A 24,638-nucleotide genomic window follows, 5' to 3' on the forward strand; every position below is an offset into this window, starting at 1 on the left:
CTACAGGTTTTTTGTTTGTTGCATTTGGCTCAGCAGTAGTTGATACATTTTGTTCTCCCAGTTAATGAGTTTCTGTTTGATATTGCAGCTGGCAGACTTCAGGGAGGTGGTGTCGCAGATGCTAGGCTTGAACGTGACCAGCCTTGCTCTTCCTGATTATGAAATCATCAAGTGTCTTGAAAGATTGGTCCATTCACATCAGCATCACTTTGTTACCTGTGCCTGCCTCAAAGATGTGACTACTGGGCAAGAGAGGCACCCACAAGGCCATTTACAGCTTCTTCATTGAACACTGTATCTCTTGAGAGAGGTGGCCATAAGACATGGCACACAATTCCCAATTTCACAAATTCCTCATGTCTTTGAGATTTGATCAGTTTGTGAATATTTTATGCTTTGATGATATAGTGAGAATGCATCACTTGCAAAAACGATCTCAAAAGTGTCAGCCTTAGATAAACGTTCAGCATTAAAAACGCCTATTATTTCATTTACTAGCATTTTAGGATCCAGAAGAATTCCACCAGATTGCATGAGTTAGATTGGGAAATGGGAGTGGGAGATAATATTGGGAGGTATCTATTTTAAGTCAGGGGCTTTACTAGCCGATTTAGTTCTCACAATAACCATGTGGAGAAGCTGTGACATTTTTAATTTACAACCTTTCTGGGGCTCAGACATAAAGTTACCTATCCAAGGTTGCAGTTGGGTAGTGGTGGGACCAGGATGGACAACTCATTGGCCCTGCCTCAAAAGCCATACCTCTTCTCCTGCTATGCAGAATCTGTTTCTCCTGAATCTCTGTGATGCTGGTGGGAATTGTTTGCATAGAGGAAGGACAATAACCCTGCCATCGTGAGTTAATGTCCGGGCTGGTCACAGTGGTTCATGCCTGTAATCCCAGCACTTTGGGAGTCCAAGGCAGGCATATCATTTGAGGTCAGGAGTTTAAGACCAGCCTGGCTAACATAGTGAGACCCTGTTTCTACTAAAAATACAAAAATAAGCCAGGTGTGGTGGTGCATGACTGTAATCCCAACTACTCAGCAGGAGAAGCACTTGAACCCAGGAGACGGAGGCGGCAGTGAGCCAAGATTGTGCCACTGCACTCCAGCCTGGGCGACAGAGTGAAACTACATCTCAGAAAAAAAAAAAAAAAAAAAAAAAAAAAGTTAATGTCCAAAAATGACAGATTTACAAGTGTAAGCTATATGATTTCTTCAAAAAGCAAAAGCAATATACCTAATTCATTTGGATCAAACTTACATAGGTCTCAGGTCCTGTAAGAAACTTGCCTGTTCTAACTGTTGCTACCAGATTATATCTGGTGGTAATTGTTAATGTTTCAGCAGGGCTGGTCTCAGTCCTTTAAAATGGAAAGCTTTATTTGGAGCCCAACCCTATAAGATGAAGAAATCCTATATAGTCTTATTCACCAATATATCCAATACACCCACAGCAATGGTACCTTTTTAAGATCAGGATTTTATTATGAATTCCTGTCACTTTCTGTTTTCCATTTAAATTTCTATTTTACAAATTTTTCAGGGAATCATATTCTTAACTTCACTGAGAAAAATGTGTTACTCTTTTGGACAATTTATCTTATTTCTATCATATAAGATGTATTTTTTTATTGTCCTTAAAAGAAGCTCTAGCATGAAATTAAAGGAAAGGGAAAGAAATAGATCTGGTGCACCCGAACATTAGGAGAAAATGAAAAATATACAACCAACCGTTCGTGAGTCATCAAAAAGTCAAAGTCAGCCTGGCCAACATGGCAAAACTCCGTCTCTGCAAAAAATACAAAAATGAGCCCGGTATGTTGGCATATGCCTGTAATCCCAGCTACTCGAGAGGCTGAGACACGAAAATTGCTTGAACCTGGGAGGCGGAGGTTGCAATGAGCCGAGATCGCGCTACTGCACTCCAGCCTGGGCAACAGAGAGAGACCTTGTCTCAAAAAACAACAACAACAAAAAGTCAAAGTCATAATAAGCAAATTATTGGCTTCTTTCTTCTAGACTAAAAGAAATTAAAGAGATGAAACAATCAATTGCAAGGGTCAAAACTAGATTGGATCTTGGTTTGAATGAAAAAAAGCATAAAATATTCTTGCAATAATTGTAAAAATTTGAATGTGGACTAAGTCCTAGATTATATTAAAATATTTTTAATTTTTTAAGCTTGACAAATGCACTGATTGTTATACTTTAAATAACTAAAAATCTGAGAATCCACAGTGCTACAGACAATAAGTGATAAAATGGGAAAAAATAGTGAAGATCTTCTTTTAGGAAAACTACCAATAAATGTAGAATGGATGATTCCAAAAAAAAAAAAAAAAAGAAGAAAGAGAGAAAGAAAGAAACAGAAAAACCTAAAAGAAAGCGAATGAATTTGACACCTGTTGGTTGGATGACAGACCACACAGAGGGAGAGTGACCAGGCTTTGCTTGTGGAGCGGGCATCCCTGCCTAGCTATCTCCTTCATGTGCAAGGACAGTATAAGTAGTATTTTGCATGTGAGTAAACACACCTGCGCAGCCCTGGCTGAGGTCACTAGGCTGGCCAGAGGCAGGACAGGCAGTCTTGAATTTCCTCTAGGGGAGGCCTGCAGTTTTCCCCACCAACCCCTTTTCACATGCTCCAAAGATGTAGTAGTGTCTGCTGTTTTGGATCGAAAATCACCTTGAGTGGAGGAAGTGACTTCACTGGGTCTCTGGAGGCTCTCGGAGCTTGAGTGGCTCTGCCCCACCCTGAATCATGCACCCATAAATGCAGTTATGGGTGGATGTGGGTGTATGAGAGTGGAGATTGTTTTTGTACATTCTCTTTGTTTTCATTTTCCAAATATAATCTTTAATAAACTTGATTTAGTTTCTTGGGAAATTTATTTTCTACGCTATTCAAAGATATTTTAAATAATATTTTAAAAACATGAAATTTTTTTTTCATTTTTGATTTGATATCATTAATTTTATATCAGGATTCATGTAAGAGACTAAAAATGATCCATAGTGGTTAGTACTGTAATTTCTGTTTATTACATGAAATTACATTCCATTTATCCAAATATATGTTTATATAATATTTCCACTGTGTGACTCTAGTGATCTTTAACATACACAGAATGATCTACAGTGATCTTTAACATACTCAGAAATATGAAAAATGTTTGAATATGATCTTTAGGGACTTCTAATGAAAAGGGTATATGAAATGGGAACAATAAATTCTGTACATGTATACAGTCCATATACACATTAAGTGTTTGTCATTTGGACAAATTGAAAACTTTTAATAAAGCCATTTTCTTCTTTGTTAAAATGCCAGTTGGTTGTTGGATTTCCCTTTATGGCAATCATTCCAGAGTTGGCAGGCCAGCTTTGAATTTTTAGGTTAGATTTTGTTCTTCTATAATATCCATGTATATTTTATGCTGTCCAATAAAATGCACTAGGTTGATATGATTTTTACATAAGGCTTTAAAATATTTAATACTAACTCTTCTGTCAAATACACTTGAGTGATAGTGATTTTGCACTGAGGTTATTATTCTGGTCACTGTCTGAGACATCTAAATCGATGCATAAAAACATCTCATTTAGGGAAAACAATTTAAGCTTGACCTATCTAAAATTTCCAGTTTTACCTTACAGTCTGTTTTACAGGTTAACAGCAAGTGATTCAAGGTCCAGGGGTGGCAGGCTGAAGCTGTTAAAGAAATCTACATTATTGATATTGTCATAATACTTACGACTCAGAAATGGAGTCTCATTTTAACTGGGGAAGCATTTCATGGTTATGTAGCCTTTGGCTTGGAAAGTCTCACCCAGTTGATGCAGTAGTGATTTTATCCACATTATTGGACACTTCACTTAGCTTCTCATTAGCAAGTGGGGTCTGTATGCTTCTCTTTCCGCTATGTGCTTCCATACCGTATTCCTCTGCCTTTGTATAAACACATGGTTCATTTGAGGCTCCTGCTAGCTGATAGATGGATAACTTTCTTCTAGACCTCATTGGGGTTACCTACTAAAAGCCTATCTATTCTCCCTGCTTTAGACTTTTGCAAGTGGTTCATAGGTGTCTTCACTACCCCCACCGGGTGCTGCCTTCATCTTGGGTAGCTTTAATGCCCATAAAGCCAACTCATGTGACATCATACCTTTTTTTTTTTTTTTTTCTTTTTTGAGACAGAGTCTCACTGTGTCACCAGGCTGGAGTGCAGTGGTGCGATCTTGGCTCACTGCAACCTCCGCCTCCTGGGTTCAAGCGATTCTCCTGCCTCAGCCTCCCGAGCAACTGGGACTACAGGCACGTGCCACCATTCCCGGCTAATTTTTGTATTTTTAGTAGAGATGGAGTTTCACCATGTTGGCCAGGATGGTCTCGATCTCTTGACCTGGTGATCTGCCTGCCTCGGCCTCCCAAAGTGCCAGGATTACAGGCATGACCCACCACACCTGGCCTATATCTTTAGTTCCTTGGCCTTCTCAGTGCCCATACTTTTACCTCCTGTTGTTTCAGCCACTCACATCCTAGACTGCAGCTTATAGTAATCCAATTTAGACTACCTTAAGCTGAAAGGAGAATTTTGGGGGCTTGCTTGAAAGATTCAGGGGTAGACTAGCTTCAGCTTTGTTAGATCCAGGGGTTCAGAATTGGTGTCTGAATTCTTTCTGCTTCTATCCATCTCTCATGTTGACTTGATTTTGCTTGTCTTTGCATGTTGGCCTGACTTTTTCCTTCCGCACATGGGTTCCTCCATGCTACCAGAAGAGATGATCACAAGCAGTTGCATGATTGTTACAACTCATGTGGTCAGGCACGTGGCTCACACCTGTAATCTCAGCACTTTGGAAGGCTGAGAAGGGCGGATTGCTTGAGCTCAAGAGTTCAAGACCATTCTGGGCAAAAAAACAGAACAAAACAAACAAACAAAACCAAAAAAACCCACCATGAGTCGAGAAAAAGAGACACCCCCTGTCTCCAAGTGTCCATGCCAAAAATATTAGCCGAGAGGCTGATCATCTCTTCCAGGTCATATACGTATCCTTGAACCAATCACTGTAGCCAGGTGGATGAACTCACTCACCAGCCTGCATTCCATGCCAACCACTGTTAGTGAGGTTGGGGTCGGGTGACGCTCTAGGATTACCTGTTCAACCAGGACCACATGTAATGACAGAGGGAAAGTTCCCCAAAGGAAGGGCAGCTGGTGAGACACACACACACACACACACACACACACACACACACACACACACACACACTTCTGTGACACGTGGCCTGTCAGGACTAACACCTAGAACTTATGCATCTCTGAAATCTTAACTAAAAAGCTCTACAACCTCTTACCATCCCAAACCTTTATCTCTTACTCCCAAATAGCTGTGCTTTGAGCCTTTGAGCCTTTGCGTTTCCCTGGTCCTCCTATTTTCTCCCTCCCAGTCTTGCCCATCCTCGTTCCATCTGGAGCCAGCCTAGATATTAAGGTTCATTTCTTCAATCATTCTCTTCCTAACACCTTTAACTCGTTGTTCCCTTGCCCTTCTGTCCTCGACTTTGAATTACTCCCAACTATCAATGTTTCTGCTGCTTTTCCTGCCCCACTGAATGAAGCTGGAGAAAATCACATGAAATCACAGCTAAGTGGCATCCCAAATTCATGGTTTTTGATCTTATCTGAGCCTCCTGTCCTAACTGGTAAAGCTGCACTGTTTTCCCTGTTACATCTCACTGTTATTTTCCAAAATGATTTTTGCAAATATTCTTTTTTCCTTTGAGGCTCTCATCCTGTGTCTTCCCTCTTCACCCTCAGCAGACAATCTCATCTCCTATTTCACCCAGTAAATAGAAGTCATTATAGGAAACACCTTCAATATCACATCCTAATACAGCCTTATATGTGTCCACACCCCCCCTTCCCTCCTTGCCTCTCCCTGTCTCAGCTATTTTCTCTACCTGGGCACTTGCATCCACAGCAACTTAGCCCCATCAATTGTTTTCCTCTCTTTCCAGTGTTGTCAACCTCACCTTCATAAATGACTTATTTCCATCAGCATTTAAAAATGTTCAAATCTCTCTCATCTCAAAGACATCCCTCTCTCTACTCCACAGCAACTTCTCCTCAGAGCCCTACCTCTGTCTTCTTCTCCCCAGTTGAGCCCCTTGGAAGTGTCCTGTATATGCTGTCTTTCTGGTCTCACCTTTTATTCATGCCATCATCCGTTCAACCTGGCTTTTTTCTTCATTCTTCCAGTGTTCTCATTTTTGTGAGCAAATCTGTGTTACTTTTAAAGTGCTTATCTTCAAAGGCATGGTATCAACCCAAATGCCCATCAGTGAAAAACTGGGTAAAGAAAATGTGGTACATATACACCATGGAATACTATGCAGCCATAAAAAGGAGTGAGATCATGTCCTTTGCAGGGATGTGGGTGGAGCTGGAAACCATCGTCCTCAGCAAACTAACACAGAAACAGAAAACTAAACACTGCATGTTCTCACTTATAAATGAGAGCTGAATGATGAGAACACAAGGGACTCAGTTTGAAGGCACAAGAGGGTTTTCTCTGATATCCTAAGGCTGGGGTAGGTAACCCAACTGGGGGTTTCCATGGCATCTTGTGTGTAGCTAGACCAACGCTTATTTACAACAACTTCCCATAGTAGCATCTCCTTTTGTGGACAAAGAAACCCTGAGACTCGGAGAAATGAAGCTTACAGCCACCTAAGGTAAAATAGAAATCTACTCTGTGTTACTTCAAAGTCCACATGATTCACATCGAGCCACGCTGCCTCCTGTAGGCTTGTTCATCACATGTCTAGTGCTTGGCCCATAGTTGGTGAGCATTTGTTGAATGTCTGACTGAATCAGCTGATAGAATGGAGTTTGAATATTCAGGTGGATTGGATCCTCCTCTCTTTATGGACCAGGACTTTTAACCATTATCTGTATAGAGATTTGAATGGATTCTCAATGCATAATTTACGTAATTACAAAGTGGGCAGGTGACCAATAATGATAATAGCTTACAGATGTATTATAACTCTTACTACAATGTTCTCACATACATTACTTTTTTTGATCTCCACAATAATTCTGATAGGGCAGGCATGGTTATTCCTAGGAAATGAAGAAAGAAAGAGTGAGAGAAAGAGAGAGAGAGAGAAAGAGAAAGAGAAAGAGAAAGAGAGAGAGAGCGCGAGAGAGAATGAATGAATTAGCCGAACTGAGAACAGGCTCCAGGTTTCCTAACTCCTGGTCCCATGAACTTTCCATTTCACAAAGCTACTTTCCCTGCAATCCCTTGGGTAATCCTGTGGTTAATTCTTGACTTAGCAGAAAGTAGGGAAGAGGTAGTATAAAAAAAAGCCACTATTCAAGTGGTAACGAACAATAAATATAAAAGGAGAGATTGCACCCGCTGTTGATCTGGAAATTGAAAATAGGGTCAAAGCCTGGACTCATGCTCTCTGGCTCCAGACTCACTATGTTCTATCAGAAAATCACGCGTAGCTGGAGTATTGCTAAGTGGAAGAGGGGTTTTGTTGTTGCTACCATGCTGAAAGTCATTTACATACTCAGAACAACACCTTTCCAGTTTTCCTATAGGACTGTGAATGTCTTCCCAAGGCATTTAGGAAGCTATAAAGAAATGATAAAGAGGAATGCTTGTCTGTGCTCAGCAGCAGATGTCGTGGTGTACCCCAGTCCTGCTGTAGGACTGAAGCACTTGTTCTCTAGCTGCCCAGAGCAAATGACTTCTGACAAGCCACATCTGGGTCCCTTCCAAGTTCTTGCCCTTGGATGAAGGGAGCTATCTCATCCTGGGTCGCAGACCCTTTCCAAGGGCAACTCTCATCCAGTGGCTAGCCAGTGAAGGGGTACACAGCCATGGCCCTTTTCCCTCCATGCAGGACCACTCTGAAGGGTCATCTCAGTTTCCAAACCCCTCCTTTCTTGTAAGATTGGGGAGGCCTCTGTTGCAACTGCATGTCAGGGCAGCCAGTCCCTCCCCATCCTGCTCTTTTACTTTCTTGCAGGTTTAGCTCCTGAGTGTGCGATTCGACTAAACTTCTGCATCCAAATCTCCATCTCAGAGTCTTCCAGAAAACCTACAACAGATTAATTCCTTCTCTCTGCAATTGGTTATGAAGATACTCAGCCATTTTTGTGACTTCCATCATATGGTTTTATCAATCTGTCAGTCATAAGTACTTTTTGATCACTTGGTGCTAGAGGAGTCACAAAACCCAAAAACAACAAAATAAACCCCAAAATATCTGTGTTCAGTTTTCAGCTTCTTTTCAGAATTATCCAATAGAAATTTATAACTGAGTTCCAGTATAATGTTGAGTACCAGAAAAATATTTAGTTTTTTCTTTCCTGTTAATTGCAACAGGGTACAGTACCAGAATAGGTGCTACTCCTAGTGGCTTAAGCAATAAGGGATTTATTTATTTTTATTTTTTATGTTTTTTTGAGACAGAGTTTCGCTCTTGTTGCCCAGGCTGGAGTGCAATGGCATGATCTCGGTTCACTGCAGGCTCCACCTCGCAGGTTCACGTGATTCTCCTGCCTCAGCCTCCCAAGTAGCTGGGATTACAGTCATGCACCACTATGCCCAGGTAATTTTGTACTTTTAGTAGAGACAGGGTTTCACCGTATTGGTCAGGTCAGGCTGGTCTCAATCTGCTGACCTCAGATGACCCACCTGCCTCAGCCTCCCAAAGTGCTGGCATGAGCCACCTCACCCGGCCTAAGAAGGGATTTATTATAGGGTACTAGGTGGCTTACAGAATCATGTGAGGGCTGAAGAAATGAACTTGAGGTTGAGCTTTCCACAGAAATTCCCAAAGGCCCACCACAGAACTAAACCACCAAGAGAGCTGCTGCTGCTACGCCTAGGTGGATGCAGAATTGCATTGATACGACCCTAATCCTGAAGCCACCGCTTTCAGGGTGCCTTCCCTCCTACTGCTAATTCTAGAACCCTACTGCACCTGCTGCTATCTGGACCACAAAATGTGTGCCTTTTACCCTGCCTCTCAGGAACCACAGAATAGTGACCATATTCTGCATCCTCTGCTAATGATGCCACAGAAGTCCAAGAGCATCCATCAGAAATAGCTGTGGCAGTAGAGGTGTGACCACTGCCATCGTCCACATCTCACACTCGGGCATCTAATGGCTAAATCCAAATCACATCTGGAATCCTTTCTCAAGGGATTCCTGGAATCATAGCATTCAGCTTCCCAATGATGGAGGTACAGAAAGGCATGCTGGAAGAGTGTTTTCCAAAAGTTCTGACATATTCTACTGTAGAATCATTTTCCTCACACATACATACAGTCACATACGCATCTACCTGAAATAAAAGATTCACAAGACAGTTGAGGCACCCTGATGGTTTCAATTCTAGTCTATGCTGAGCAGTGCTATGCTATTCCATGCTATTTCATTCCATTAAGAAATGCTGGTCTTGACCCACTAAGTTGGTTTCGTGATGGACTAATGGACGATAACTGGCAGTTTGGAAAAACACTTCACAACAAGAAGGGAGAAATGGATGTTGAGTGCCAATCCACAATATCTACGATACTATTTTATACTATTCCTTCCCCTGTCCTGAATTGACAGAAAGAATTCAAGGCTGCTCACAGAAGGGACTCAGTGATATGATAAACTGCATAGTGAACTGAGGATCAAAAGTAGCTTCTAGTCCATGGACCAGCAGTTTATTTGTTTGTAAATGAGAGCGTTGTGATAGTTCTGTGTTGTAATGACCGGATTGACACCTACCTAGTAGGAAAACTGAGGGAAATGTTGACCAGTCTATACCTTGTACCTTTTACTAGAGGATGGATTAAGCCCACGAGGGAGTTTTGATGGCAAATGCACTATGGTGTGCCTTTAGAAGCAACTGTTGTACTCCTGAAAAATATTAGTTGGCTTTAGTCCAGTTCCTGGTTTTGCATGTAGGTGTAAAACTAATGATTCATTCTGAGAGCATGGGGGTATATATTGAATGTGAGAAGCATGACTCATTCACCTGCCCCATGTTTGAAAAGCAATTGTTAATTACACTGTTAACATTTGTTAAGACTTTAATTTCTTCATGTAGAGCTTTTAGGTAAAAGCTTATATTTACCAATAACTGGGGCTTTCAATGAGAACTTTTTTCCTGATGCAGTGCTGGTTGGAAGGTAATTGGTTTCAAAAAAGAAAAGCCCATTGAGAAGGCAGAACAAAGAAACGTTTAACACATGTTTCATCTGTGCCAAATAGTACACCAAGCATTTCCATGCACAATCACTCGTGTAGTCCTTACAATAGCTCTTAATGAAGAAATTATGATTTTCCTTTTTGTAGATGAGGGAGAAAGGCTTAAAGAGATTAAAAGGGATTCACCCAAGGTCATTAAACTAGAAAGTGAAAGCATGGAATTCACATTCAATTTTGGATGACTCACACCTCCTACTTTTCCTACTGTTCCAGGATGTCTCTGTTGCTTTCATTATTTGTTCAAGGTGAATATAAGTCAAAACAAAACCCCTCAACACAAACTTTATTAGCAAGACGGTAATTTTTATCTTTTGGAAAAAAGAGACCTTCTAATGGGTCCTTCAGCTGCCCATTTCATCTCTTCCTTAGCCATATTTTCCTCTTTTTAGGACCCTGATATCTAAAAGCAACAGAGAATTGAACAGATGATTTGTGGGCATTATTTTGGTTTCATATCTTTTATGGTTTTCTTTTGGTTGTGATTGCATTTAAGGAAACCGGAAGAATTTGTGTTAAGGAAAGAATATGTTTCCCCAAAGTTCATATGTTGAAGTCCTAACCTAGATGTGATGGTATTTGAAGGTGGGGCCTTTTGAAGGTAATTAGGTTTAGAGGAAGTCGTTAGGAAGAGCCCACATGATGAAATTAGTGCCCTTATAGGAAGAGGAAGAGACTGGAGAGCTTGCGCTCTCTCTACTGTAAGGAGACAGCAAGAAGGCATCTATGTCTCTGCACGCCAGGAAGAGAGAGCACCAGAACCCAACCACGCTGGCACCTTGATTTTGGACTTCTAGTCTCCAGCACTGTAAGAAGAAAATTTCTGTTGTTTAAACCACCCATTTTATAGTATTTTGTTATGGCAGCCTGAGCTAAGACAGTAAGTAACCTAAAACACTTCCCTAAACACCTCTATAAACTTAACGCAAGTGCCGGTCATGTTTATGACACTTTGATTGTGTATGGTTGTAGCAATGTGAAAAATGCCAAACTTGTAAAATATGTGAAAAAGATCTGCAAAACGTTCATGCCTCTTTAAACACTTGACTCTTAATATTTGTTTTCAAATTTTTTCTCTTTTAGCAAAAATACACAAAATTAAGTAAAATACTAGGACTAAAAGGAACCCAATTCAATGTGATTCTTCACCCATGCAATCTGGTTACCCTCAGTGCAGAGGTTGAGCTGACATTTGTACCTACTGACAGGATATAATTTGTGACTTTGGGGAACATGGTTGCACACTTTTGAGAATCACTTTTTTAATGCTAATTAGCTTATTTAAATTTTTTTTTTATGGTTTCTTATATGTAAGCCAATATATAGTCCGCATGGTTCTGCTAATAGTCCTTAGAAGCTGGCAATGATGTCCTTCGCAGAGATGGTAGAATCCTCTGTGTGATTCTTTCAGAGTGTGTGATGAGTTACAGGAAAACGGCAGTTTCCAAAACAGTTCTGCAAACCACTTCATCGTAATCTTCATAATAGTCACCATTTATTTATGCACCAGAGACTGTGTTGAAAACTTTGTAAGCTTTATGTAATTTAATCTTCCCCTAACCATAATCTTAATGATAATAGTCACCATTTATTTATGCACCAGGGTGTGTTTGAGCACACTGTAAGCTCTATGTAATTGAATCTTCCCCTAACCCACCACTGGCTGGTCTGACCCTGCTGTGCTCTCTCTCTCCCATGCTATTCTGCCTCTTCTTTGGAGGGGCCCATTGTCAGGCCTGAAGCTGGGTATCTGACCAGGTTGTGCCCTGTCCTACACGGGAGTGGGAACTGCTCTGTACCTAGGCGTCTGCCACTGACTCAGAAGTCCAGGTGAGTTGGCTGAGGAGGAAAGACGCCTGCCAAACAGAGAGCTTTGTGTTTGTGGGAGTTCACTCCGACTTCCTGGTTTGGGGATCAGGCTGATTGGCTTCAATTGAATGTTAAAGCTGAATTTTTAAAGCCATGCCTCTTTCACTACAGTGGGGACCTCTATGCCATTCTGCATAGGAGTCTGATAACATGGGTATTAAGGGCATGGAATTTCTAGGTGTACTCACTGGCCTCTAATCTGAACCCCACTTTGGCTGTTTGCTTCTACCTCTGGGCATTGGTTCTCTCATCTAGAAAATGAAGGTTAACAATGGTCCTAATCTCCTATAGTTGGTCGGAGGGGTAAGTAAAATCATAGATATGAAAAGTTTAGTCCTGTGCCCAGCATATTATCAAATCAATATGTATAAGTTATTATTAATATTAATATGAGGCCCTTAATAGGTCCAATCATCATGTATTCATATTTAATGGCTTTATCTCTAGACTAAATCACTGTAATCAAATACTTATCTTTTCCTCCCTCTGGGATAGACTGTTGGATGGTCTTCAGTGAGTCATACCTTCCAGTATTGATGTCCTTTTGCAATCCTTCCCCAACCCACACTGACTCTGGGCTTGGCCAACTGACTGGCTTTGGGCAATGGGACATTGGCAAGTGTGCTGCAGGCAGAGGCTTGGTAAGCCCTTGCACACTGGGGCTTGCCCTGTGGAATGCAGATGCCATGCAAGAAGAGAAGACTGGGCTAGTCTTGAAGAGAGATCCTAAGACCACATGCAGTAAGAGGCTGGTCATCCCAGCATCCCACTGGAGCCCACCCCTGAGCCAATTTTTCAGCTGAATGCAACCACATAAGGGACTCCAGTTATGAACAGAACTGCCCAGTCGACCCACAGGATCATGACAAACAATGCATTATTGTTGTTTTAAGCCACTGACTTTTTGGGGTGGTTTGCTGCGTAGCAGTAGATGGCTGAAACACCCTCCATAAAATAGTGTGAGACATAACCTTATACCAAAATAAAAATTTAGCACGGATGCTATCATACCAATGGCAAATGAACAGTTGTGGGAAAACAGTAGAGCTTTCAATGAGCTCAAAGTAGCATATCTGCATCAGGGGCCCATGCCTTGTTGCCAGGAAGTCCATCAGAAGAAACCTAGGGAGTTTTCAGGAGTCCTGGCTGCTGGGAAAGCCAGCACTGCAGCTGTTGGCCTGTGGAAATGTGAAAAAAAGAAAGAAAGGAAGAAAAAAAAAACCCACAGGCACTCCAACCGCTTCACCACAATAATTGCAACTCTTATTTCTATTTGCCAGCAAAACTAGTGTTTACAAGAGAAAAACAAGACGAATTATATTTTTAGCAATAAATGTTTTATTTGGAAAATGTCAGTGCCAGTTGCACCCTAATGGTGTTTTTTTCCAAAACATGTGGTTAGTAAGAAGAGTGGAGTAGGGATTCAGGTTATTTTAAGAGAGCTCTGAGAGCTTGACTAGACAGTATTGAACCGGACTGTATTAGAAGGGATATGGGCCTGTTTGCACTGTAGCTGCAGAATATATCTGACATGAAGCATCTCCTTGCTTTGTGGGATGGCTTTGGTACATGCACCAGCACTGCTGTGTCCCACCGACTCAGCTTCCCTTTCCTGAATTGCTTTTTGTTCATTGCATTAGATGAAATGAATTGAGTGGTTTGGACATTGGAGAAGATTATAGATCTTCAAGGAAAAATACATTCAGTACATGATTAGAGGCTAGAATAGATAAGAAATCAATTTGGAATGAGCAGTTTTTAAAAAATAAACTTTATATTTTGGAGCGGTTTTTGGTTCAGAGCAAAACCAAGTGAAATGTACAGAGATCTCCCTCATACTCCCTCCCTCCACATATGCGCAGCCTCTCCTGTCAAAATCCTGCACCAGAGTGGCACATTTGTGACAACTGATGGACCTACAGTGACACACCAAAGTGCATAGTTTACATTAGGGTTCACTTTTAATGTTGGAAATTCTGTGAGTTTTGGCAAATGTATCATAACATGTATCCACCATTATAGTATCATACAGAGTAGTGTCACTGCCCTAAAAATTCTTTGTGTGCTGCCTCATCATCCCTCTCCCCCTCCTACCCCTGACAACCAGTGATCCTTTTACTCTCCACAGTTTTGCCTTTTAAAGAATGTCATGTAGTTGGAATCACACAGTATGTGGCGTTTTCAGATTGGCTTCTTTCCCTTAGCAATATGCAATTAAGTTTCCTCCGTATCTTTTCACGGTTTGGCTGCTCATTTCTTTTTAAGGCTGAATCATATTCGATTGTCTGGATGCACCACCATTTATTTATCCTTTTGCCCATGGTAGGACATTTTAGGTGCTTCCAAAATGAGGCAATTATGAATAAAACTGCTTTAAACATTTTCGTGCTTTTTGTGTGGACATAGTTTTCAACTCGTGGGTAAATTCAGAAGCATGACTACTGGATCGTATGGTAAGAGTATATTTAGTTTTGTAAGAAACTGCCAAACTGTCTCCTAAAGGGACATTTCCACCAACAATGAATGAGAGTTCTTGTTGCTCCACATCCTTGGCAGCATTTGGTGTTGCTTTGGACTTTGATCATTCTAATAGGTATGTGTTTGTATCTCATTATTGCTTTAATTTTCAGTTTCCTAATGACATTTGATGTTCAGCATCTTTCTATATGCTTAACTGCCATCTGTATATCTTCTCTGGCAAAGTGTCTGTTCAGATCTTTTGCTCATTTTAAAATTAGATTGTTCATTTTCTTGTTGTTGACTTTTAAGGGTTCTTTGTATATTTTGGATAATGGTCCATTATCAGATATGTCTTCTGCAAATATTTCCTCCCAGAACAGTTTTTAAGGTAATAATGTTTGAGAGATTTAAATTAATCTGAGCATTGTGTAAATAAAAAATAAGTTTAAAAAATAAACAGAAATATATTAGCTATCATGATCAAATGTTTGAGGAAGAATTATTAAATTATTGATGCTTTAACAAATCTGTTTTTTTATGTGAGGGAGAGCATATAACAAAATTTCTTTGTGAGTTGCAAAATTGTAGTTAGGAAAATTACCAAAGAATACATGATCTAAATAAAGGCTGAGAAATAGGAAAAGTCTGTAAAGAAGGGAACCTGTTGATGTATTCTCATTGTTGTCCTTCTATCTTATTGTGTTATGGTTATTCGTGTTTCTGTTCCCTTACTAGCCTGTGAGTTCCTAAGATATAGTATCTTCCTAATATTTGAAACTTGGCTGCATCTGGGATGAGACATAGTAGACCCTCAACAAATGTTTCTTGAATGAATAAATATATGGATGGCTGCATACCAGTTTAAAAATATTCTCAAATTTCTATGAAACTGGATTTGTCAGAAACAATCTTAAGTGTTGTTAGATGACCAGCTCGTGGCACTAACACATTTGGGGCCATATTATGTAGTAGTCCATCCAGTAGCTTGGGCTTTGGAATCAGAGAGATTTAGCCCTAAGTCCTGGTTCACCATTGTCAAGCCGTGTGATCTTGGCCAAAGTAGCTTTCTAAATCTCCTGTTTATCAGCAGTAAAATGGGAGCAAAAGTAATGCCTGTCTCATGGGGTACAGTAGCTGTAAGGGTTAAATAAGAATGCAAGTGAAAACTGCTTGGCTATGGTAGGGTTCAACAAATGTTTGCCATTATTACATCAAACAAATGCACGAACGATAAAGTCGTGTTTGCATAAAGCAAGGGAGGAATGCCAGTTCTCCCTGGTAGAGGCAGACTAACCCTTGGAATCTAGAGGCACGATTAGAGTAAGACTATGGTGCTAAGAGACAGGAGTGAGCTATGCCTTTGTCCAGGTGCACTGGGCTAGTGTATCTTTCTGCTGATATTCTTTCTCTGTACTGTGGCTGACCTTTGACCAAGGACGCTTGCTCTTAAGGGTTCCTGGTGGGACAGGCATATTTTGAGCATACCCAGGGTAGGGTGGGTAAAGGGCCAAGACTGTGGGTTGGCTTCAATCCCAGATGGCCACCTGTTATAGACCCTACACCAGGCTTCAGTGGAACCTGAATCACCAACTCCTGGGATTTGAATTGATTCAAATCAGTGATCCATCTCTTAGTTTGCTAGCTACAGCCATAGAACCCACACACTAAGAAGACATTGTTGCTTACATGATTCAATCCTGCTCCAAGTTTGCTCTATGATCTAATATGGAAGAGAGTGCTAAGGCTGACAAGATGTTAACTATGAGTTATTAAAGTTTTTCAGGGAAGTCAAAACATGGACTCTTGCTGCCATTAGGAATTGATGTGCACCTCATAATATTAAAAGACTTCACTAAAGAGATATCAGGAGCAGATGGATTGTGAGGGCAGATAAATAAACTATCTCATCTTCAGTAAATGCGACCCATGAAAGTGAGGCTGCTTGAGTGGAAAAGAATTGTCATATGGCCTAGATGAGGTTTTGTTCTAGGCATGGTCTTCTCAGAATGTTTTATCTAATTATGAGTCTCAAGGACAGAGACATCTACCACATTCAAAGAATGACAGCTCGGTTCTCACAACTCCTCATGACCAGTCATTTCCTTTTGTAAAACTCGCTTGGAAAACACAGCAAGTTCTTCTATCTGATGCTTAGTCTGGGTGCCACTGACAGCAAATTACAAACCATAGTGTAATGTGTACTTTGATACATCTGGACAATTACTGAATATATATATATATATATATATATGGGTTTCTTGCCTATATATATATATATGTGGGTTTCTTGTCGATCTATCTATATCTATATTGTCTATCTATCTATCTATCTATCTATCTATCTATCTATCTATCTATCCATCTATCTATCCTCACTGAACCCTCTCTTATTATTGAAAGTTTATTGGAAGTAGGTGCTCTATGCATTCTTTTTTTTTAAAAAAAGTTTTTTGGGATGGAGTTTCGCTCTTGTTGCCCAGGCTGGAGTGCAATGGTGCGATCTCAGCTCACTGCAACCTCCGCCTCCTGGGTTCAAGCAATTCTTCTGCCTCAGCCTCCTGAGTAGCTGGGACTACAGGTGCCCACCACCACGCCCAGCTAATTTTTTTTTTTTTTTTTTTTTTTTTTTTTTTTTGAGACGGAGTCTCGCTCTGTCGCCCAGGCTGGAGTGCAGTGGCGGGATCCCGGCTCACTGCAAGCTCCGCCTCCCGGATTCACGCCATTCTCCTGCCTCAGCCTCCCAAGTAGCTGGGACTACAGGCGCCCGCCACTACGCCCAGCTAATTTTTTGTATTTTTAGTAGAGACGGAGTTTCACTATATTGTCCAGGCTGGTCTCGAACTCCTGACCTTGGGTGATCCACTCGCCTTGGCCTCTCAAAGTGCTGGGATTACAAGCGTGAGCCACTGCACCTGGCCTATGTATTCTTTTCTGATAACTGAGCAGTTATTTTCTGTTGAATTAGTAGAACAAGAACCCCCAGATAATGCAATTTCTTTGCAACCTTCATCTTTGAAGGAGTTTATAGATTGTGCATACATAAGATGCGCACTATTTGTGAACCCTCAAATATTTATTACCCAATAGACCATAGGGAGAAAGAAGAGAATTGCTACCACTTCAATTTAAAACACACATGCACATGCACACACATGCACACACACACACATACACACATACACTTCATGAAAATAATATATGAATAGGTTCTTCTTCTGAATATTAACAAAAAATGAGGTAAAGTGAAATCACTAGCCCTATTCAATTTCCCGTCCATGTGAGAAAATCAGTTTCTCTACTAACAATTGATATCAAACATCAACAACAGTTAAATGTTTCACTCAGGCTGCTGTGGAGCCCTGGAGCTGAAGTCTCCTCTCAGAGGAGTCCTATATCTCGCAGGAATGGATCCATATAAATAGCCTTGCTGTGTTTAGTCACTGGCTTGAAGCAGCCCCTGGGCAGCATGGCCTTGGGGTGAACACAGGAGTGCTTTCGATTGTCAGGGTGTCTGTCTATTATACTCCTACAGCAAAAGATCTCAGTGGTGCATTCTCCCCTCCCCTCCCCTCCTCCCCTCCCCTCCTGTCCCCTCCCCTCCCTCCCTCCCTTTTTCCTTCCTTCCTTCCTTCCTTCCTTCCTTCCTTCCTTCCTTCTTTCTTTCTTCCTTTTTTCTTTTTTTTTGAGATGGAGTCTTGCTCTGTCGCCTAGGCTGGAGTGCAGTGGCACAATCTTGGCTCACTGCAATCTCCACCTCCCAGGTTCAAGCAATTCTCCTGCCTCAGGGTCCTGAGTAGCTGGGATTATAGGCACCTGCCACCACGCCTGGCTAATTTTTGTATTTTTAGTAGAGACGCGGTTTCACCATGTTAGCCAGGCTGGTCTTGAACTCCTGACCTCGTGATCTGCCCTCCTCGGCCTCCCAAAGTGCTGGGATTACAGGTGTGAGCCACCGTGTCCTGCTTGAGTGGTGCATTTTTATGGCCACCACTTGTATTCATTGATCATTGTATTTCTTCTGTAGGACAGGAGTTGGCAAACTTCTGTAAAGTAACAGTAAGTATTTTAGGCTTTACAGGTCTGTCACAACTACTCAGCTCTGCTCTTGTAGCAGTAAAGCAGCCATCGGCTGTATGCAGATGACCGAGAGTGTGTTCCAATCTTCACAAAAGCAGGCAATAGCCAACTATGCTGTTGTTTCCTGACCCCAGGACTAGAAAATGTCTGTTTATAGCACCTGTCTCTTGAAAATTTTGTAGAATTTACCTATAAAACTATTTGGACCCTGTGCCTTTTTTTAAGGAGCTAGACTTTGACTAATTTTCTAACTTATTCTATGGTTAACTGGTATATTTAAGTTTATTTATTCTTGTGCTAATATTGAAATTCATATTGTTTTTAGAAATTCAACCATATTACATAGATTTTATGTTTCTTGCTACCAATTTTTACCTGGTCTACCCTTATTTTCAAAATCTCTGTATTTTTCATATTTTTAAATCATACATTTTAAAAGTTGATGTTTTATTTTGGATGATGTGTGTAATTTTTTAAAAAGCCTCTATTATGAATAAGTATAAATCAAAATAAATATATAGAACTCAAGGTTATATCAATTCATATGTCTAAATCTTGATGTTCTGTGAATGAGGAAAAGCAATACCAGCTATGATGACATGTGATCAATTCACAATAGTTAGTCGTATTTGTGAATATTTTTCTTTTTAAAAGCCACACATAAATAAATCATTTATTGAGTCAAAATATCCTTCTGCCATCTGGATTCATGTTTGTTGTTGTTTAGATTACTGGGGTTACTTATAGTGGCTAAGCATATAGATTCTGGAGCTAGAGGGCTTGTATGTCAATCTTGACTCCCACACATACTAGCATTGTAAACTAGAGTAAATTAACTAAGTGCTCTGCCCCATGTCCTTATTTGGAAAATGGAGCCAATAATAGTACCTACTGTGCAATATTATGAAAATTAAATGAGTTAATATAAGTGAAGAACTTACAATGGTGTCTGATGCACGTAAGTGCTACCAATTGTTAATGTAAGTATTCTTAGTGTCATGTGCTTATGTGCTTGATTTGTTCTGCAGCTCTGGTTGTAAAGGTTTTACTCTTTATGCTTTGGTTTTCTTGAGTCTGTCTTTGATGAATTTTTTATAATCACTTTACTTTTTGTAAGATTCTTTTGTGAAGTTCAGAAAATGATGGCTCATGACTGTGTCAACACCAGAGATTACTGTGATATCTGTTGCTTCACCTCAGAATCTTGGGAGAAGCAGGCTCAACAATGAGGGAATCATCCATGACACCCACTGTCCCAATGACCATCTTTGCCTCCACCTGTTTGTGCCCTTTCACAATCATCAAGATATTGTGATCTTGATTTCGATTCTTTTGGATACATATCCTGAAGTGGGAAGGCTGGGTTACATGGTAATAAGAGATATCAGCACTTCCATGTTTATAGCAGCACTATTCACAGTGGCCAAGATATGAAATACGGTATATGCATACAATGGAGTATTATGCAGCCATGAAAAAGAAGGATATTCTGCTTCTTCTATCATATGGCATGACATTGATGGACCTTTAGGACATTATCCTAAATGAAATAAGCCGGTCAAAGAAAGACAAATACTGCATGATTCCACTTATATAAGATATCTGAAATAGTCACATTCATAGAATCAAAGAGAGAAATGGTGGTTTTCAGGGGCTGGAGGCAAAGGGAAACAGGGGAGTTACTAAGAAATGGGCATAATGTTCCAGTTAAACAAGTTGAATAAGCTCAGAGATTTGATATACAACATTCTACCTAGAGGTGACAATGTACGGTGCACTTAAAAATTTGTTAAGGGGGTAGATCTCATGTTAAATGTTCTTACCACATTAAGAGAAAACAAACAAACAAAAGATACTGTAGTGTTGGAGAATTCTCACAATGGCTGAACTGGTCTCCACTGAGCCTGGTGGCAAAAGCAGACGGGGGAGGCTCCTCTCTCAGATCAGTTTTGTAGAGTTGAGGGAGGGGCACCTTGAATGAACATAATACTTGGAGAGAGTGTTGCAGTTAGAGGACAGAAAACAAAAGCACATCATCAAGAGTGCCTCCTGCTATGTTTATGCCTATTTTACTGTCCTTTTCAAAGAAAAGCTTTAAGTTTAATTGATCAACAATTTTTGAATTTTTCTTTTAGTTGTGTTTTCAAATTTATTGATTTCTGCATTTCTATTTATTTGTTCCTTTGTTATGCTTTTTTGGGGGGGGAGGCTTATTTTGTTGTTCTTTAATTTCTTGAGTTGAAAGTTTATCTCATTTATTTTTAGTCTTTTTGGTTTTTAATGAATATATTTAAGCCTCTGAATTTTTTCTCTGAATACTGCTTTAGTGGTATTGCACTAGTTTTTTTTTAACCCCTTGTTCTTGGTTTATTAACAGCCTTTTCAGCATAATTCAATGCTTATAACACTGTCTACATATTGTTTTTAAAATGGTTTTGAAGATTAGTTTTTTTAAAACTAATTTCTTTCTTTTATTTATTTATTTTTGAGACAGGGTCTTGCTGCATTGCCTAGGCTGGAGTCCAGTGGCGTGATCATGGCTCACTGCAGCTTTGACTCCCTGGCCTCAGGTGATTCTCCCATCTCAGCCTCCAGAGTAGCTGGGACTACAGAAATGTGCCACTACACCTGGCTAATTTTTATATTTTTGTATTTTTGTTGTTGTTGTTGTTGTAGAGATGAGGTTTCACCATGTTGCCCAGGCTGATCTCGAACTCCTGTGCTTAAGCCATCCACATACCTTGGCCTCCCAAAGTGCTGGTATTACAGGTGTCAGCTACCATACCTGGCTAAAAACTAATTTAAAACAACGTCATTATGGAAATACAATTTACACTGCTTACAGCTCACTAATTAAAAGTGTGCATTTTCATGTTCTTAAAAGTATATTCAAAAAGTTTGTGACCATCAACACAATTTCATTTTAGAATGCTTTTGTCTTTTCTAAAAGAAACCCATCCTTTTCCTCCCACAACTTTCCCTACCTTTAAGCCACCAGTAATCTACTTTTTGTCTTTATGTATTTGCCTATTCTAGAAATTTCATATAAATGGAATCATATAATATGTCGCCTTTTGTGACTGGCTGCTTTCACTTAGCATAACTTTTTTGAAGTTCATCCATATTGTAGTGCTTCAGTCCTTGTTATGGGGGAATAATATTCCATTGTATGGATATACTACATTTAAAAAATCTATTTGTTATTGGTAAACATTAGAGCTGTTTCTACTTTTTGGTTATTATGAGTAATGCTGCTAAAAACATTGTATACAAGTTCTTGTGTGAATGTGTGCTTTTATTTGTCTTGTTGATATACCTAGGAGTGGAATTGTTAGGTCACATAGTAATGCTATGTTTACCTTTTGAGACATTGCAAAACTTTTTTCCAAAGCAGCTGCACCATTATAAATTCCCACCAGCAATGCATGAGGATTCAATTTCTCCACATTGTTGTCAACACTTGTTACTGTCTGGAGCCAGCCTAGTGGGTGTGAAGTGGTATTTCATTGTGGTTCTGATTTGCATGTCTCTAATAACTAATAATGTTGAGCGTATTTTCATGTGCTCACTGGCCATTTGTACATCTTCTTTGGAAATATATCTATTCACCCCTTTTGCCCATTTTAAATGTTGTATTATTTTTCTTTTTATTATTGCATTGTAAGAGCTCTTTAGATCTTCTAGATGCAAATCTTTTATCAGATATATGATTTGCAAATATTTTCTACTGTTCTGTGTGTTGTCTTTCATTTTTAAATAATATTCTGTGAAGCCAAAAGTTTTAATTTTGATGAAGTCTAAATTATCATTATTCTTTGTTTTGTTGTTTGTACTTTTGGTGTCATAGCTAAGAAATAATTGCCTAATCCAATGTCATGAAGATTTATGTCTTTCTTTCTTTTTCTTTCCTTCTTTCTCTTTTTCTTTCTTTCTCTTTCTTTCTTTCTTTCTCTTTCCCCTTCCTTCCTTCCTTCCTTCCTTCCTTCCTTCCTTCCTTCCTTCCTTCCTTCCTATCTCGCGCTCTCTTTCTTTCTCTCTCTGTCTCTCTCTTTTTTTTAGGCAAGGTCTTATTATGTTGCCCAGGTGGGTCATAAACTCCTGGGTTCAAAAGTGATACTTTCATCTCAGCCTCCTGAGTAGCTGGGACTACAGGCATATGACACTGTGCCTGGATTAAGAGTTTTATAATTTTAGCTTTTGCCCTTAGGTCTTTGATCTGTTTTGAGTTAAAATTTGTATAGCGTGAGGTAGGTGTCCAACTTCTTTCTTTTGCATGTGGCTATCTAGTTGCTCCAGCACCATTTGTTGAAAAGGCTCTCTTTCTCCCTTGAATTTTCTTGTTGCCCTTGTCGATGTCAGTTGACTATAAATTCCTGAGTTTATTTCTGAATTCTCAATTCCACTCCACTGATCTAAGTTTATTCTTATTCTAGTAGTCACCATTATTTTGATCTTCTTTCTGTGTCTCAGATTTTTTCCCCCTGTAGAACATCTCCAGTAATGGTTTACATAAGTTTGTGATTAGTGATGTTATAGTGTGATAATGTGTTTATTTGCTCTTACACTTTGGCTGAGCTTAGAAATATTTGTATTTTGACCTTTGATACGGTTTGGATATTTGTCTCCTCCAAATCTCATGTTGAAATGTAATCACTAATGTTGGAGGTTGGGCCTAATGCAAGGTATTTGGGTCATGGGGGTGGATCCCTCATGGCTTGGTGCTGTCCTTGGGATAGTGAATGAGTTCTCATGAGATCTGGTTGTTTAAAAGTGAGCGGTACCTCCTTCCTCTCTCTCTTGCTCCTGCTCTGCCAAGTGATGTGCCTGCTTCCGCTTTACCTTCCACCATGAGTAAAAGCTTCCTGAGGCCTCACCAGAAGCTTAGCAGATGCAGGTGCCATGATTCCTGTATAGCCTGCAGAACTGTAAGCCAATTAAACCTCTCTTCTTGATAAATTACCCAGCCTCATATATGTTTTATAGCAATGGAAGAATGGCCGAATACAACCTTTGAGATGTCTGTTTCACTGTCATCTTTGCTTCAGAGTTACTGAAGAAAAGTCTGATGATCTCATTCTGTTTTCTTAGTTGATAATTGGTTTTTATTTTATCTCTTTCTCTGCAAGACTTTCAGATTTTCTCTTTATATTTAGCGTTCTGAAATTTTTACAGTACTGTTTTGCGTGATTCATTTTTTATTCATCTTTTGTCTTTTCAATCTGAGGATTTTTGTTTGTTCTGGAGTATTTCTTTATTATTGCTTTGAGTACTGCCTTTCTTCCATTCTATTCTTTCCTTCAGGCACTCATATTTTCAAATATTAGAATTTTTGGATCTGGTCTAAAAAGGAAATAAAAAAATCTATAATCAGACTAGAATAGAAGGGGTACCCTTGACAGTCCAAGAAATAAGAGAAAGCCCTGACATGCCAAACAGATGTTACGAGATAAACTTGTAAGACAGAAATACTGCAGCTGGGGCGCAGTGGCTCATGCCTGTAATCCTAGCACTTTGGGAGGCCAAGGTGGGTGGATCACTTGAGGTCAGGTGTTCAAGACCAGCCTGGCCAACATGATGAAACCCTGTCTCTACTAAAAATACAAAAATTTGCCTGGCCTGGTGGCGGGCGCCTGTAATCCCAGCTACTCGGGAGGCTGAGGCAGGAGAATTGCTTGAACCTGGGAGGCAGAGGTTGCCATGAGCTGAGATAGTGCCACTGCACTCCAGCCTGGGTGACAGTGAGAGACTCCATTTCAAAAAGATAAAAAATGACACAAGAAAGATGATAGAAATGACAGGATGTGGAGACACAACTCAAATTCTAGGTTCCAGATCTTGACATCTTCCCACTGTCTTACTGCTCTGCATCATGTTAGCTTAGAAAGTTACTCAACCTCTTTGATCTTTGGATTCATGATCTAAAAATGGAGTGTTGGGG

The 24,638-nt window shown here is 40.0% G+C and overlaps 1 protein-coding gene and 1 long non-coding RNA gene across 5 annotated transcripts in view; both read left to right on the forward strand.

The window, feature by feature from the left end:
• Positions 1 to 3,335, forward strand: part of CCDC170 (coiled-coil domain containing 170) — a 127,177-nt gene extending 123,842 nt beyond the window's left edge. For all 4 annotated transcript variants that reach the window (NM_025059.4, XM_047419372.1, XM_011536148.3 and 1 more), the window contains one exon: positions 89 to 3,335. In NM_025059.4, the coding sequence (NP_079335.2) occupies positions 89 to 289 (201 nt within the window). In that variant the 3' untranslated portion in view covers positions 290 to 3,335. The remainder of the gene's footprint in view (positions 1 to 88) is intronic.
• On the forward strand, positions 8,717 to 14,543 carry LOC124901435 (uncharacterized). Its single transcript, XR_007059816.1, has 2 exons — positions 8,717 to 12,124; positions 12,659 to 14,543. It is a non-coding gene; the product is annotated as an uncharacterized LOC124901435 (long non-coding RNA).
• The last annotated feature ends 10,095 nt before the right edge of the window (positions 14,544 to 24,638 follow it).

The sequence above is a fragment of the Homo sapiens genome, chromosome 6 (genome assembly GCF_000001405.40).
Source record: "Homo sapiens chromosome 6, GRCh38.p14 Primary Assembly".
NCBI classification, from domain to species: domain Eukaryota; kingdom Metazoa; phylum Chordata; class Mammalia; order Primates; family Hominidae; genus Homo; species Homo sapiens.